Source organism: Homo sapiens, chromosome X (genome assembly GCF_000001405.40).
Source record: "Homo sapiens chromosome X, GRCh38.p14 Primary Assembly".
Lineage (NCBI taxonomy): Eukaryota > Metazoa > Chordata > Mammalia > Primates > Hominidae > Homo > Homo sapiens.
This window is the reverse complement of record NC_000023.11, coordinates 53,546,262-53,561,298: the sequence shown is the minus strand read 5'-3', so window position 1 is coordinate 53,561,298 and position 15,037 is coordinate 53,546,262. Positions and strand designations below refer to the sequence as shown.

Below are 15,037 nucleotides of genomic sequence, written 5' to 3'. Positions count from 1 at the left end.
GAGTGAATCTCTTCCTCCCCCATCACCGTGAAACTTCCCTTTTAGCGTCAAGTTAGAATCGAGTTCTTAGAATCAAGCTGTCTTGATAGGGCAGGTCTTGACAACTTAAATCACAAGCATGATGTAGCAGAAAACACTGAACTGTTCTGGTCTGTTTTCTTGGCCAATTAATCTCTTACCTCTTTGAGCCTCAGTTTGTCACCTGTAAATGAAAAGTTCGAGAAAAAAATGGGTTGGATTAGATAACTTTGAAGATAACATCTATGATTATTTTGCATTTTTGTGATTTTCATCAGTTTCCCTTAGAGTTGAGCCTCTGTCCATTCAGCAAATTGAACAATATTTGAGGAGTGCCTACTGTATCCTAGGTACTAGGGATACAGCAGTAAAGAAGAAAACAGTCCTCGTTCCTCATAGGAGTGGTTTATTAGGAATCATAACTAAGCAGGCATTACATTGCACTATAGTAAGAGAGCACAGAGGTAAAGAGTTACCTAACCCAATCTGTGGAAGTCAGGCTTCACAGAGAAAGTGACATCTTAGGCCAAGAAGAGAAGAGCAGGTAAAGAAGCGGGAGAGGAGTCTTCAAGGTGAAGGGAGCAGCATGTATCTGAGGGGCCTAGAAGCATCACTGTGACTGTAGTGTGGAAAATGGATTGGGAGAAGGTACTATTTAGGAGGCCGTTGCAGTATCTAAGTGAGAGATGATGGCATAAGCTATGGTAGTGTCAGTGATTGTAGATGAGTTGTGGGAATGAGGGAGAAAGGACAAAGCTCAGGTTTCCGTGTGAGGAAGTAAGGCCCAGGAGACATGATTCTGCTTGAACAAACATGGAAGAAATTTCTTTTTGACACTGACCCTTTTACATATTGTCCTTGCAGCAGACATCCCCCCATCCCCAGGAAATATCCCTACCACCCATCCACTGATGGTGCGCCATGCAGACCACAGTTCTCTGACACTGGGCAGTGGCTCTTCAACAACTCGTCTCACCCAGGGCATCGGGCGCAGTCAGAGGACCCTAAGGCAGCTGACGGCCAATACTGGCCACACCATTCATGTTCACTACCCTGGGAATCGCCAGCCCAACCCTCCTCTTATACTGCAGAGGTGAGTTACAGAGATCTGTTGGATTCATCGGAGCTCTTGTAAGAATTTTCACTGTGCTTTAGCATTGTCTTAACCTTGGGGGAAATAGTCCATCACTTAATGTTCTTGTCATACACACAAATAAGGTATTTGTTCCATTTCTTTGTGGATTACATGTGTAGCCTTTTGGGGAGTGCAGCCTTTTGGGGAATACCAAATTATGTCAATAGTTCTGCGCATGTATTTAGCAATTATTAAGTGTCTCATGCCAAGCACTTAACACTTTAGATATAGACGGGACAAGATCCCTGCCCTCAGGCTTAGAGTTTAGTGAGACAAACAATCTTAAGAAGTAAAAGAAAGGCATATAAGTGTTGTAATGGTTGGTGTACAGACGACAGAGAGGGTGTAGTGGAGGCAATGTGACCTGACGCAGTGCCTGGCACGTGGGAGCTTATTGACACCCACTTGGTGCCAGGAACTATGGAATAATATACAACTTAAGTACAAAACCAGGGTGGTATTCAGAAAAATAACTTAGACTTGTGTGCACATCATCAGGTTTATAATCATGTTCTGCATTTAATAGAGGATGCATGAAGAGGATCTCATGGTAACAGGTTGCAGGGCACCTCTGGACTTAACAGTGATCATGGTACCCACCATTACCCTACAGGTTGCTTGGTCCCTCAGCTGCTGCTGACATCCTTCAGCTGAGCAGCAGCCTTCCCCTACAAAGCCGGGGTCGGGCCCGCCTCCTGGTAGGCAACGATGACGTCCACATCATCGCCCGTTCTGATGATGAGCTGCTGGATGACTTTTTCCATGATCAGAGCACAGCTACCAGCCAAGCAGGCAAGTTTGTGTGGTGAAAGGGAGGGTAGAATTTGTCAGATTCTACTTTTTCCCTGCTGAGGAAAAGCAAGACAGTGTCTGCCCTATAGAAAACCCCCATTTTATAGGAGCCAGAACCACTCAGTGACTTAGCCATGGGCAACAAAAACTTTATTGTCTCTAGGTACTTGTTATGTTCTAAACATTGTGATAGACCTTGGGTCCTTTTAGGGAAATACTGCAATTTTTGGATCGGTGGATCAGTTAATGCTTGACAAGGCCAAGAATCTCATTCCCCTTTGCTGTCCCTACAGGAACCCTGTCCAGCATCCCCACAGCCCTGACCCGCTGGACAGAAGAATGCAAAGTTCTCGATGCTGAGAGCATGCATGACTGTGTTTCAGGTGCGTGGCAGCTTGGTTATCAGGGCAATAGTGAGCCTTCCAGAGCTAGGGCAAACGTGTGGAGAGTTGTTTCCCTGGTTCTCTGTGGCTACAAGCTCTGCCTCTTGGCTTCCTCCCTGACCCCACCAGAGCAGCCTTTGATTTTTGCCTCTTTGAAACAGTGGTTAAAGTGTCCATTGTCAATCACCTGGAATTCCTGAGGGATGAGGAGCTGGAAGAAAGGCGAGAGAAGCGCAGGAAACAACTGGCTGAGGAAGAAACAAAGATAACTGATAAAGGCAAAGAAGATAAGGAGAACAGGGATCAGAGTGCACAGGTGATTCCCAAGGGCTGGGAGGATTCATCTTTGACTGTGTCTGCCGTAATGTGGTTTTGGCATACACATGGCACCAGGAATCACTGAAGAATCCTAGAACGTTCACGTTGAACCTGGGAAATTTTTTATTTCAAATTCACCATACATTGACCTGGTTTTTAGGGGAAAGAATTCAAACCTAGAGGGGAGATTTCTCAAGTGTCAAGGGAAAAACTGGAGCCAGAAGCAGAATGGCTTCTCACTCAACAGTCACACTGCATAGTCTCTACCGCCAAGGACAGCATCAAGACAAGGAGAAAAACCTTATCTAAGTCCATGCTCTTAGTCGCCCACTTCCATTTCTGTCGGTGAACTGCCAGTGTGGGGAATCTTACCGAGATGACCCCATTCCGTCATTTGAGTAAGATCAGCCTAGGTGTCAGATCAGAGAAAATGTTTGTACTCTGAACCCCATCACCACATGTCATTTTTTCTAGGGCTCACATGTATAAAATCACTAATACAATTTTGGTTTAGAAGGAAGTTACCTACTTTTTTCTGAAACTTCTGGGACCTCAGACAGAGATCTTTTAAATGTCTGAGTAAATGTTGATAGAATTATACATTACAGTGTATCACTTGATATAAAAGGGGGAAAAACTGATAGAAATACAAAGAAATAAGACTTGAGAGTGAAAGACTTTAGTATACCCTACTCAGCAGTTAAGGAATCAGGTAGATTAAAAATAAGGGTAGTGAAGTGTTCAGTTAAAATAACAAGGTTGATCTAACAAATATCTTTATATAGAACTTTTTACCTAATACACACATTGTTTCAAACTTGATATAGGATGAAAAATAAGTGAACCTAGCCTGTGACTGAAAAGACTAGAGTGGACAAAATAAAAAATAAGCCCCATGAAGGGAAAAAATACATAGATGAAACCAAGAAATTCTTGCTAGAATGATCATGATCGTGCCCATCCCTAAGGGGTTTTTATTATCCTTTCCTTCCATATTTATTTCCCCCTCAGCCCCAAACAATTCTTGAACCTGAGTATGTATAGAGAAATTGGTCATATATTTGCACAGTGAAATGATCACCTTCCTTTGGTCACATGGCCAAAGCATTCTCCATTAGATCACTGAACTCCTAGATGGTCTGGGTGGAGGATGGTGACTATTACAGTTGACCTCTATCTTAGGTGCTTGCAAAGTCCCACATTGGTCTATCCCTTCTTTTTGCAGTGTACTGCATCTAAGTCAAATGACTCCACTGAACAGAATCTCTCAGGTAACTCTCCTTCCCTTTCTCCCTTCTTACTAATCAATTGGTTGCTTCTTTATCCTGATAGTTCCGAGTAGCTGGCCCACATAGGCTGAAGATGGACACTGGTGCTCTGTGGGATGAGGTAGTAGATTGTATAGTTTTAGGGTCATACCCCATCTTGGAGATAACTATACAGTCTACTGTCTTTCCCACGGTGGTACACTTCTTCTCCGACTGGCTCTGTTCAGGTTCTTGTTCTGGTTATTATCTACTTTGTTCTGGCATGGGTAATGAGGTCATGTGTCTTGTTCATTTCCTGACTGCAACTCTGTCCTCTGAAACAGCATGTTCATGTACATCTTTGAAGTGGCTGGTCCTTTGATGACCACCATGGTGTGGCACTTCATGAGAATAACTGATGACAGTGGTTCTCAAATGCCAGTCCTCTGTGGAAACGAACAAAATCAAGGAGCTTTAATGCCTTTTTCATAAAGCTGAATTTATTCCATTTAAAAGGCTGTTTTTGTATTTAGAGATCATATTCCTAATTCTGTGGTACCAAAATATTTTTATTAAATGATGTTGATTGGATGTTTTTTCTTACATGGCTAAACTAAAAGTTGGCAACCCCTACATTAGTCTCTACTTTTTGTTCTTTTTTTAATTAAATTTTATTGGTCCATGGAATCTAAAAGTCTAGGAACATTGTCTTGGATAGTGTGCTGTTCATGAAGGTAGCTCTCTGGGCTTAGTGGTATGACTGCCGTATGTTTCCTATTCCCTCTGATCTTCTTAACAATGGTCAGTAGCCATTTTGTGATTCTATCAGTTGGTTCATGTGATATCATATGTCTCCCCCACCCATATTTCCTCAGAACATTCTTCTGCCTCCCTACACCTGTCTCCTTTCGCACTTGAGTTGGAAAATGATTGTACCAAAGCCTGCACAATATTTTTTAAAGCAGTGAAGTAGGGTAGATGCCTTGGTACCCTTAATCTAGCAAAAGATCTTTAAAAGAGTCTGTCACCATGTAAAATGGCCTTTTGCCTGCTGCCCTTATTAGAGGATTCTGCTCATGCCAGGGTGAGGTAGTAAGTTGTATTGTTGTGGGGTAGGGATATTAGGCCCCAATTAGAAGATAACTATACAACTTACTACTTTCCCTGGTGTGTGGCATATTCACACTTAGTCTTAGCAGTGTTGCCTCCATCAGACAAAGTTGTAGATGTTCCTTGGATAATTTGGACTGGAAGAAAAGAGACATGGAAGGGGACAGATGGTGTTTAGGGTGAGGCAGATGTCATTATAAAGTGACTTGTCTTTCATTAATTGGAGCATATAATTATTTTACCTTTGGGCATGAACTCATTTTGCTATTCTTCAACTGTGTAATGATTGCATTTTATTAGTAATAGAACAGGAATGTGTGCAAGGGAATGGAAAGCATACTTTAAGAATTTTGGGCCAGGCGCAGTGGTTCATGCCTGTAATCCCAGCATTTTTGGGAGGCCGAGGCGGGTGGATCACCTGAGGTCAGGAGTTCGAGACCAACCTGGCCAACACGGCGAAACCCCGCCTCTACTCAAAATACAAAAATTAGCCAGGCTTGGTGACACTCGCCTGTGGTCCCAGCTACTCAGGAGGCTGAGGCAGGAGAATTGCTTGAACCCAGGAAGTGGAGGCTTCAGTGAGCTGAGAACACGCCACTGCACTCCAGCCTGGGCAACAGAGCAAGACTCTGTCTCAGGAAAAAAAAAAAAAAAAAAAAGATTTTGAAGGGCTGGACGCAGTGGCTCACGCCTGTAATCCCAGCACTTTGGGAGGCCGAGGTGGGTGGATTGCTAGAGCTTAGGAGTTTGAGACCAGCCTGGGCAACATGGCAAGACCCTGTCTCTACTAAATATACAAAAAATTAGTCAGGTATGGTGGCACATGCCTATAGTCTCAGCTACTTGGGAGGCTGAGGTGGGAAGATCACCTGAGCCCGGGAGGTGAAGGCTGCAGTGAGCCATGATTGTGCCACTACACTCCAGCCTGGGCAACAGTGAGACCCTGTCTCCAAAAAAAACAAATAGAGTTTTGAACGAAATTCTGACCATTTCTTGCTCCAAATAGATGAAGTGGGAGGATCAATAGGATTTTGGTAGTTAGATTTTCTGTGTACCTATAGGTCAGAGACATTTAGCCTCACCCTATATGGCCTGAAATCTTCCCCCTTCCACCTGCAGGGCACAGAAAGGATTTTATTCTTAGAATCCACAGAGTCAGAGCTCCAGTTCTTGCATTCTTGGGACAGAGATAGCACTGTGCCTTAACCTTCATCCTTAGTATACCAGACCAGAGATGTTCCTTGGAGTATTTTTGTTGTGGGGATGATCACTGGCTGGGTGGGATACTTATCAGGCCACATTTGCTGATTGGGGTGGCTCCCCTCATCATTGGCTGGTTGCCCCTTAACCACTATTATTGTTCTTTCCGAGAAAGATGGGACGCCTATGCCTGACAGCTACCCAACAACCCCATCTTCAACTGATGCAGCTACATCTGAGTCCAAGGAGACCCTTGGCACTCTGCAATCCTCACAACAGCAACCAACACTCCCAACCCCACCAGCTTTGGGAGAGGTTCCTCAGGAGCTGCAGTCTCCAGCTGGAGAAGGGGGCAGCTCTACACAGCTATTGATGCCTGTAGAGCCAGAGGAATTGGGTCCCACAAGGCCAAGTGGGGAAGCAGAAACAACTCAGATGGAGTTATCCCCAGCTCCCACTATAAGTGAGTAGAATTTCAACATTTGGGGAGGATGAAACAAGAGGGAAGAAAGGATGTCTTTGTAGCTTCTCTTTGCTCTTTTGCTTGAGAGAAATAGTAGGAGTTCAACTTCTCAAATAATAAGATCTCGTCTTGCGCATTCACTTTCTTAAGTGAAGTTGAGGTCCTGAACTGGTGATAGTTGAATGTCTAATGATATTGGTGATGATACCAACAGTTCATTGAGGCAATTACTCTGTTTCTGGGCTATCACCCCAGGCTTATTATTTAAAAACAACTCTCCAGCTGGGTATGATGACTCATAATCCCAGCACTTTGGGAGGCTGAGGCAGGGGGATCATTTGAGCTCAGGAGTTTGAGACCAGCCTGGGCAACATAGACCCCATCTCTATTGGGGGGAAAAAAAAACTCTCCAAAATCGATGGTGTTATTTACATGAGTAAACTGAAACTCAGAAATGAAATAATTAGCCCAAGTCACTCTGTAAGTGGTTGAACTAGAATTAAAACCCAGATCTGTCTGACTTTAAAGATTACTCTCTCCTTCCACAGTTCCCAGGATGGCAAGCATGTCATCCCACACTTAGAGCTCTCCCATTCTCCTGGCAGACACTGTTTATCTCATGACACTATTTCTCACTGGTTTGAAATGGGGCCTGAAAAGTCTTCTCAGCAGTATTTCAACAGGATAAATTGATACCTGCTTGCCATCCCTGCTCTATACCATCTTGCTTGTGAAGTTCTCTGGAGAGACCCTAAGGTGTCAGTTTTTTCTTTCAAGGAACCTTGTTTATTTTATTTTATTTTATTTTATTTATTTATTTTTTGAGAAAAAGTCTCGCTCTGTCACCCAGGCTGCAGTGCAGTGGTGTGGTCTTGGCTCACTGCAACCTCCGCCACCCAGGTTGGAGTGATTGTCCTGCCTCAGCCTCCCAAGTAACTGGGACTACAGGTGCACGCCACCATGCCCAGCTGATTTTTGTATTTTTAGTAAAGATGAGGTTTTGCCATGTTGGCCAGGCTTATCTGGAACTCCTGACCTCAGGTGATCCACCCGCCTCGGCCTCCCAAAGTGCTTGGATTACAGGCATGAGCCACTGCGCCCTACCGAAACCTTGTTTATTTAGAGAACTACAGGGATATGCACGTGCAAGTGGTGCCTGCAGTGAATCAAAGTGAAAAAATCCCTTACCCGGGCTGGGCGCGGTGGCTCACACCTGTAATCCAAGCACTTTGGGAGGCCGAGGCAGGTGGATCATGAGGTCAGGAATTCAAGATCAGCCTGGCCAAGATGGTGAAACCCCATCTCTACTAAAAATACAAAAAACTGGCCGGGCGTGGTAGCAGGTGCCTGTAATCCCAGCTCCTCAGGAGGCTGAGGCAGAGAATTGCTTGAACCCAGGAGGCGGAGATTGCAGTGAGCCGAGATTGTGCCACTGTACTCCAGCCTGGGCAACAGAGTGAGACTCCATCCCCCTGCCAAAAAAAAATCCCTTACCTGGTTTGCCTAGGGAAGATGTTTCACAGGCATGCCTGGAACACAGTAAATGTTCAAGAATTGATAGAAAGGGCTTCAGCTGAACCTTAGAAATCTCAAAGTGAGATTGAGAGGGGGACAGCAAGGGAGAAGTGAGAAGTCTGAGCTGAGATGCCCCTAAGGAAGCAGCCCTATCAAAGACCTTATCTGTCATTTTGCCCCGGTTCCAGATAGAAACCTAACCTCTCCCTGCAACTTCTTCCTAGCCTCACTTTCCCCAGAGAGAGCTGAGGATTCTGATGCACTGACGGCTGTCAGCAGTCAGCTAGAAGGCTCTCCTATGGATACAAGCAGCCTGGCTTCCTGTACCTTAGAGGAGGCTGTGGGTGACACTTCAGCAGCTGGCAGTTCTGAGCAGCCCAGAGCAGGCAGCTCCACTCCTGGGGATGCCCCACCAGCTGTGGCGGAAGTGCAAGGCAGGAGTGATGGGTCAGGGGAATCTGCCCAGCCACCTGAGGACAGGTAAGCATGTGTGGGCAAAAGAAGGGTAGGATATATTGGAGGGTCTTTCAAAGCACATTTCATACTCGTCAACTAATGGACATGCTTGTTATGCTGGGGAGATAAAGCTGGTTTCTGTGAGAAAGGGGTATTGTAGCAGTGTTTTATAAACGAGAAGACATAATACAGACAGCAACCTGAGCATGATTTCCCTCAGCTCCCCACCTGCATCCTCTGAGAGCTCTTCCACCAGAGATTCTGCCGTGGCCATTTCTGGAGCAGATTCCCGAGGAATCCTAGAAGAGCCGTTGCCTTCAACAAGCAGTGAAGAAGAAGATCCCCTTGCGGGTGAGTTCCGTGTATGCCCAGGTCATCCTGGGATTGTTTTGGCTTCTAGTAGCCCTTGGCATGGAAATGCCCACCAGCCAAACAGTTCCATTTAGATGGAGGGCATGTATGTGGGAGGACTGACAATAAGCGGGGGTGCTGGTATGGCATAATGAAACGGGTCCAGCCTTAGGAGTCAAACTGATCTTGGCTCACTCAAATTCCCCCACTCTGCCACTTCTACCTTTTACAACCTAGGGTCATTATTTAATTTCTGTGATCATGAATGATACCGAGGGGGTGATGATATCTGCGTGGTAGGTTATTTATGAAGGGTAAGTAACAGTGCATGCAGTCTAGCAAATAACAAAAGCTGTTCTGAGCCCAGGGAAGGTGGGGTGGGCCTTCTCTGTGTCCCATGTCTTGCAAGCAGTGAAGACATATACACTGGTTTCCCTCAAGGAGTGACATGGGTTTATTTTCTCCAAGTACATATTAGGCACCAATAGAGGTGTGAGAGGCTGGGCGCGGTGGCTCGTGCCTGTAATCCTGAAAATTTGGGAAGCAGAGGTCAGAGGATCACCTGAAGCCAAGAGTTTAAGACCAGCCTGGGCAACATAGGGAGACCCCATCTCTACAAAAATATATATGTAAATTAGCCAGGCATTTTGGTGCATGCCTGTAATCCCAGCTACTCAAGATGCTGAGGCAGGAAGACTCGAGCCCAGGAGCTCAACACTGCAGTGAGGCAAGGGTTGCACCACTACACTCCAGCCTGGGCAACAGACCAAGACCCCGTCTCAAGCAATTAATAAGGCGTGAATCCCTTTACATGTTATATCTCCCTTCAGGTATCAGTCTCCCTGAAGGTGTGGACCCCTCTTTTCTGGCTGCCCTGCCTGATGACATCCGTCGGGAAGTTCTACAGAACCAGCTAGGCATTCGTCCACCAACCCGGACTGCCCCCTCCACAAATAGCTCAGCGCCTGCAGTGGTGGGGAATCCTGGTGTGACTGAAGTGAGCCCTGAGTTTCTGGCTGCCCTGCCTCCAGCCATTCAGGAGGAAGTATGTGAGCGGGAAGGTGGTGGGGCCAGGCTGCCTGGCAGGAGAAATGCCCTCATTGACTTTTTCTGCTCCATAGGTACTGGCACAGCAGAGAGCTGAGCAGCAGCGACGAGAACTAGCACAGAATGCCAGCTCAGACACCCCTATGGACCCTGTGACCTTCATCCAGACTCTGCCCTCAGACCTGCGCCGTAGTGTCCTAGAGGATATGGAGGACAGTGTGTTAGCTGTGATGCCACCTGACATTGCAGCTGAGGCTCAAGCCCTGAGACGAGAGCAAGAAGCCCGGCAGCGACAGCTCATGCATGAGCGTCTGTTTGGGCACAGTAGCACCTCCGCACTCTCTGCTATTCTCCGAAGCCCGGGTACAGAGGGAGGCAAGTGGGAGGGCTCTGGAAAGCTTTAGCCAGATGAGGCTATGTTTTCTTACCTTTGTATTACCTATATCCAGTTTACACCCTCTCCACAATCTCAGTTTTCTTTTTCTTTCCTTCCAGCTTTCACCAGTCGCTTAAGTGGCAACCGTGGGGTCCAGTATACTCGCCTTGCTGTGCAGAGAGGTGGCACCTTCCAGATGGGGGGTAGCAGCAGCCATAACAGGTACCTTTGTCTATTTTTACCTTACCATATCACCACTCAAGTCTATTAGCCCAGCTCCCTTAGTTTTATAGGTGGAGAAGCTGAAATCCTGACAGGCAGGATGGATGGTCTCTCTAAGCCATTTCCTTGAATAAGTGAGAGAGCCAGATCTTTGGACTCCCCATTCAGAAAACTACACCTTTTGGTTAGTCTTGCTACCAAAGACCACAATCGCAAAAGCAGGCCGGCAGCAGGTGCTAACTATGGTTTTAACAAGAAGGAACACCACTTGTCTCCCATGCAAGTAGTAAAACAACTAACCACCTGCCTTGAGTTTGTAACACCTAGGCTAAGGAAGTATAGAGGAGTGAGTTAGCCAGGCTAAAACAGAGTGGGCCTGACATGCCAAAATGTGAAAGGAGTGATTGGTTCCTACAAGGCCACAAACTCCTGGTAGTCTAGAGAAGGCAGAAACTAGCATTGTCTCCTAGACTTAGGTATGGTCAGATTTTACCAGTCGATGGATGATACCTGGGCTGGAATCTCTGCTGTCTTCTCAGTCGCCGTGTGATGTAGGGCAAGTCACTTAACCTGTTTGAGCCTCTTGTTTATCATCTCAAAAATGGGTGGTTCTCGGCCAGTTGTCGTGGCTCACACCTATAATCCCAGCACTTTGGGAGGCTGAGGCAGGTGGATCACTTGAGTCCAGGAGTTCAAGACCAGCCTAGGCAACATGGCAAACCCAATCTCTACTAAAAATACAAAAAGTAGTCGGGTGTGGTGGCGCGCACTAGTAATCCCAGCTACTCGGGAGGCTGAGGCACGAGAATCACTTGAATCCTAGGGGGTGGAGGTTGCAGTGAGCCGGTATCACGCCACTGCACTCCAGCCTGGGTGACAGAGCGAGACTCCATCTCAACAAAAAGCTGGTGGGGGTGGGGGGCTTCATTCTCTAAGCTGTACAGCAGCCCTGAAAGGATGATGTACAGTCATTGTAAAGTGCCTGGTACATAGTAGACACCTAAGAGGGCAGCTGTTACTATGAAGAGCCCTTGGACTGGACACCCACCTTTCTCAAGCCTCCTTGGAGATACCTAGCTCATTCCCCTCCCCCATTCTTATGCCTAATCCCAGAGCTCTAGCCACTGAAGTGTTACCCAAAAACCATGTTCTGTTTCCAGGCCTTCTGGCAGTAATGTAGATACTCTCCTCCGCCTCCGAGGACGGCTCCTTCTGGACCACGAAGCCCTTTCTTGTCTCTTGGTCCTACTTTTTGTGGATGAGCCAAAGCTCAATACTAGCCGTCTACACCGAGTACTGAGAAATCTCTGCTACCATGCCCAGACCCGCCACTGGGTCATCCGCAGTCTGCTCTCCATCTTGCAGCGCAGCAGTGAGAGTGAGCTATGCATTGAAACACCCAAACTCACTACAAGTGAGGAAAAGGGCAAAAAGTCGAGCAAGAGCTGTGGGTCAAGTAGCCATGAGAACCGTCCCCTGGACCTGCTACACAAGATGGAGTCAAAGAGCTCCAACCAGCTTTCCTGGCTCTCAGTATCCATGGATGCAGCCCTAGGCTGCAGGACTAATATATTTCAGATCCAGCGTTCAGGGGGGCGTAAACATACCGAGAAGCATGCAAGCGGTGGCTCCACCGTCCACATCCATCCCCAAGCTGCTCCTGTTGTCTGCAGACACGTTTTGGATACACTCATTCAATTGGCCAAGGTGAGGGTTTCAAACCCAACTCCTGGGGATGGAAGAAGGGTGGCAGCAAGAGCCTGGGTGAAAGTTGAACACTAAGCAGGCTAGCGTGTCTTTTTGCTCTTATTTTAAGTGTTGAGCCCTGTATTGTTTCTAGGGGATTGTCCTATATATTTCTGGGGTTTTTTCTTCATTCTTTTCCATTTTTATGTATGTCTTATTTAGTCATCAAAACAACTGGGCTGTATGATTCCTGTTTTACAGATGAAGAACCTGAGATTCAGAACATTTTATTCATTTTGTCTTATGATTAGAAAGTGATGGAGCTGGACCTAGAATTTAGTGTTCTTTCAATAATAAGCATTGCTGCCATCTATCAAAGGCCTGCCTTGTGCCAGGCACTGTGCAAAATACATCATGTCGTTTAATCTCCAACAACTTTGCAAGGAAGTGTAGTTATCTCCATTTTATAAGTGCGAGACTAAAGCTCAGGAAAAGTTTGCTCGTGAGTCTGTATTGCTACAAAGCCCTCATTCATTTCTCTAGGCTGCTTTACTGTCTGTTGGATAAAACTCTTATATGACATATCCCCCAATATTTACCAAAATTGTCTGAAGGAGTCTGGGAACCAGTTGTCTTTTCCCTATCAGGAAGGCTCATCCTCTGTGAAGACGTCCTAGACCAAGCCTTGTCCTCCTTTTCCCGGCAGGTATTTCCCAGCCACTTCACACAGCAGCGGACCAAAGAAACAAACTGTGAGAGTGATCGGGAAAGGGGCAATAAGGCCTGTAGCCCATGCTCCTCACAGTCCTCCAGCAGTGGCATTTGCACAGACTTCTGGGACTTATTGGTAAAACTGGACAACATGAATGTCAGCCGGAAAGGCAAGAACTCCGTGAAGTCAGTGCCAGTGAGCGCTGGCGGTGAGGGGGAAACCTCTCCATACAGCCTCGAGGCCTCTCCACTGGGGCAGCTCATGAACATGTTGTCACACCCAGTCATCCGCCGGAGCTCTCTCTTAACTGAGAAACTCCTCAGACTCCTTTCTCTCATCTCAATTGCTCTCCCAGAAAACAAGGTGTCAGAAGCACAGGCTAATTCTGGCAGCGGTGCTTCCTCCACCACCACTGCCACCTCAACCACATCTACCACCACCACCACTGCCGCCTCCACCACGCCCACACCCCCTACTGCACCCACCCCTGTCACTTCTGCTCCAGCCCTGGTTGCTGCCACGGCTATTTCCACCATTGTCGTAGCTGCTTCGACCACAGTGACTACCCCCACGACTGCTACCACTACTGTTTCAAGTAAGTGTGGATGTAGACTGGGAGCTGTGGGGTATATACTGTGGCACCCACTTCACCCCCTTTTCCATCCAGATAGTTCTCCCTCAGTGATAGCAATCAGCTTGGTTTGTGTTTGTGAGAACAGAATGTGTTCATTCTCACCCTCATCTGTCCCAGTTCTCTCACTCTGTCTCCCTTCCTCCATCCCCGTCTCTCTGTGTCTCTCTCTTTCTCTCTCTCCCCTGCCTCTCACACACACACTCTTTTGAAGGTCAGCAGGCATTCACTGAATGTAGCTTCCCTAGGCTAGGCACCAGAAGGAGGAAAGAAAGTTAAGTTCCATCCTCAGGGAATTCCCAGCCTTTCCAGTTGTGTTGAGGGAGCCAGTTCTCATGGGAAATAGTTCAAGGGCGGGCAGGATACAGTGTGATTCAGAGTAACCAGATCATCCCAGGAAATAAAGGTAATGAGCCCTGCCACAGATTAGTAAGAAAGAATTATCTGAAGAAGTAGGTTTTAAAGAATAGAGTGGGCCATGATGGTGGGGGAATAGTTGGAAGAAATGCCTGGGGTTTCTTTTTCAGCTTAGAAGTTACAGTCATAAGAGTCCTCTTTGAGTTTATGGTGAGACGTGATTGTGCCACTGCATTCTAGCTTGGGCAACAGAGCGAGACCGTGTCTGTAATAAAAAATAAAAAGCCTTTATCATCCCAAGTCATTTAGATTTGCCTTTGGTGGGTGGGTTTTCTTTTTCAGTACTTTCCCATTTTGAAGCCCTGGGCAATTCAGCGATTCCTTGATTTTGTCACTTAGTCCCTGGCTTGTGAGTTTCAGAGAGGCTTACAGTGTTCTGTCTGTTTCCTCAAAGTTTCTCCCACTACTAAGGGCAGCAAATCTCCAGCGAAGGTGAGTGATGGGGGCAGCAGCAGTACAGACTTTAAGATGGTGTCCTCTGGCCTCACTGAAAACCAGCTACAGCTCTCTGTAGAGGTGAGTCCAAGCTCTTCTGATCTGCTAAGACTTGGGGAGAAAGGATAAACAGGGTAGATAATGATTTTGTTCTCAGGCTGGGGCTTACTCCTTCTGTCTTCTTTTTCTCAGGTGTTGACATCCCACTCTTGTTCTGAGGAAGGCTTAGAGGATGCAGCCAACGTACTACTGCAGCTCTCCCGGGGGGACTCTGGGACCCGGGACACTGTTCTCAAGCTGCTACTGAATGGAGCCCGCCATCTGGGTTATACCCTTTGTAAACAAATAGGTAATAGCAGAAGTAAAGCATTTTCTCTTTCTGAAGGTTTCCACTTAGGTGCTTCCTCTTTCTGGAATCCTTTCCTGAATCCCCAAGCTGAATCAGATACCTCCATATCCCTATAACACAGCCTCCATGCTCCCTCTGTCGTAACACAGATTACCCTGGGTTATCATCTGTTTT

General features: G+C 46.7%; 1 protein-coding gene and 2 non-coding genes across 52 annotated transcripts in view; all 3 read left to right on the top strand.

The window, feature by feature from the left end:
• The window catches only part of HUWE1 (HECT, UBA and WWE domain containing E3 ubiquitin protein ligase 1), a 154,624-nt gene that overhangs the window by 125,421 nt on the left and 14,166 nt on the right, over positions 1-15,037 (top strand). For 44 of the 50 annotated variants that reach the window (NM_001441048.1, NM_001441051.1, XM_047441751.1 and 41 more), the window contains 15 exons: positions 883-1,111; positions 1,767-1,945; positions 2,239-2,328; positions 2,490-2,644; positions 3,872-3,917; positions 6,379-6,666; positions 8,406-8,661; positions 8,858-8,988; positions 9,819-10,033; positions 10,110-10,398; positions 10,531-10,633; positions 11,794-12,340; positions 13,026-13,626; positions 14,474-14,595; positions 14,707-14,863. In NM_001441048.1, the coding sequence (NP_001427977.1) occupies positions 883-1,111; positions 1,767-1,945; positions 2,239-2,328; positions 2,490-2,644; positions 3,872-3,917; positions 6,379-6,666; positions 8,406-8,661; positions 8,858-8,988; positions 9,819-10,033; positions 10,110-10,398; positions 10,531-10,633; positions 11,794-12,340; positions 13,026-13,626; positions 14,474-14,595; positions 14,707-14,863 (3,408 nt within the window). The remainder of the gene's footprint in view (positions 1-882; positions 1,112-1,766; positions 1,946-2,238; positions 2,329-2,489; positions 2,645-3,871; positions 3,918-6,378; positions 6,667-8,405; positions 8,662-8,857; positions 8,989-9,818; positions 10,034-10,109; positions 10,399-10,530; positions 10,634-11,793; positions 12,341-13,025; positions 13,627-14,473; positions 14,596-14,706; positions 14,864-15,037) is intronic. The other 6 variants (XM_047441722.1, XM_047441720.1, XM_047441749.1 and 3 more) reach the window with 1 other exon arrangement.
• MIRLET7F2 (microRNA let-7f-2) lies at positions 4,025-4,107 on the top strand. The gene has a single exon (NR_029484.1). It is a non-coding gene; the product is annotated as a microRNA let-7f-2 (primary transcript).
• On the top strand, positions 4,958-5,076 carry MIR98 (microRNA 98). Its single transcript, NR_029513.1, has one exon. It is a non-coding gene; the product is annotated as a microRNA 98 (primary transcript).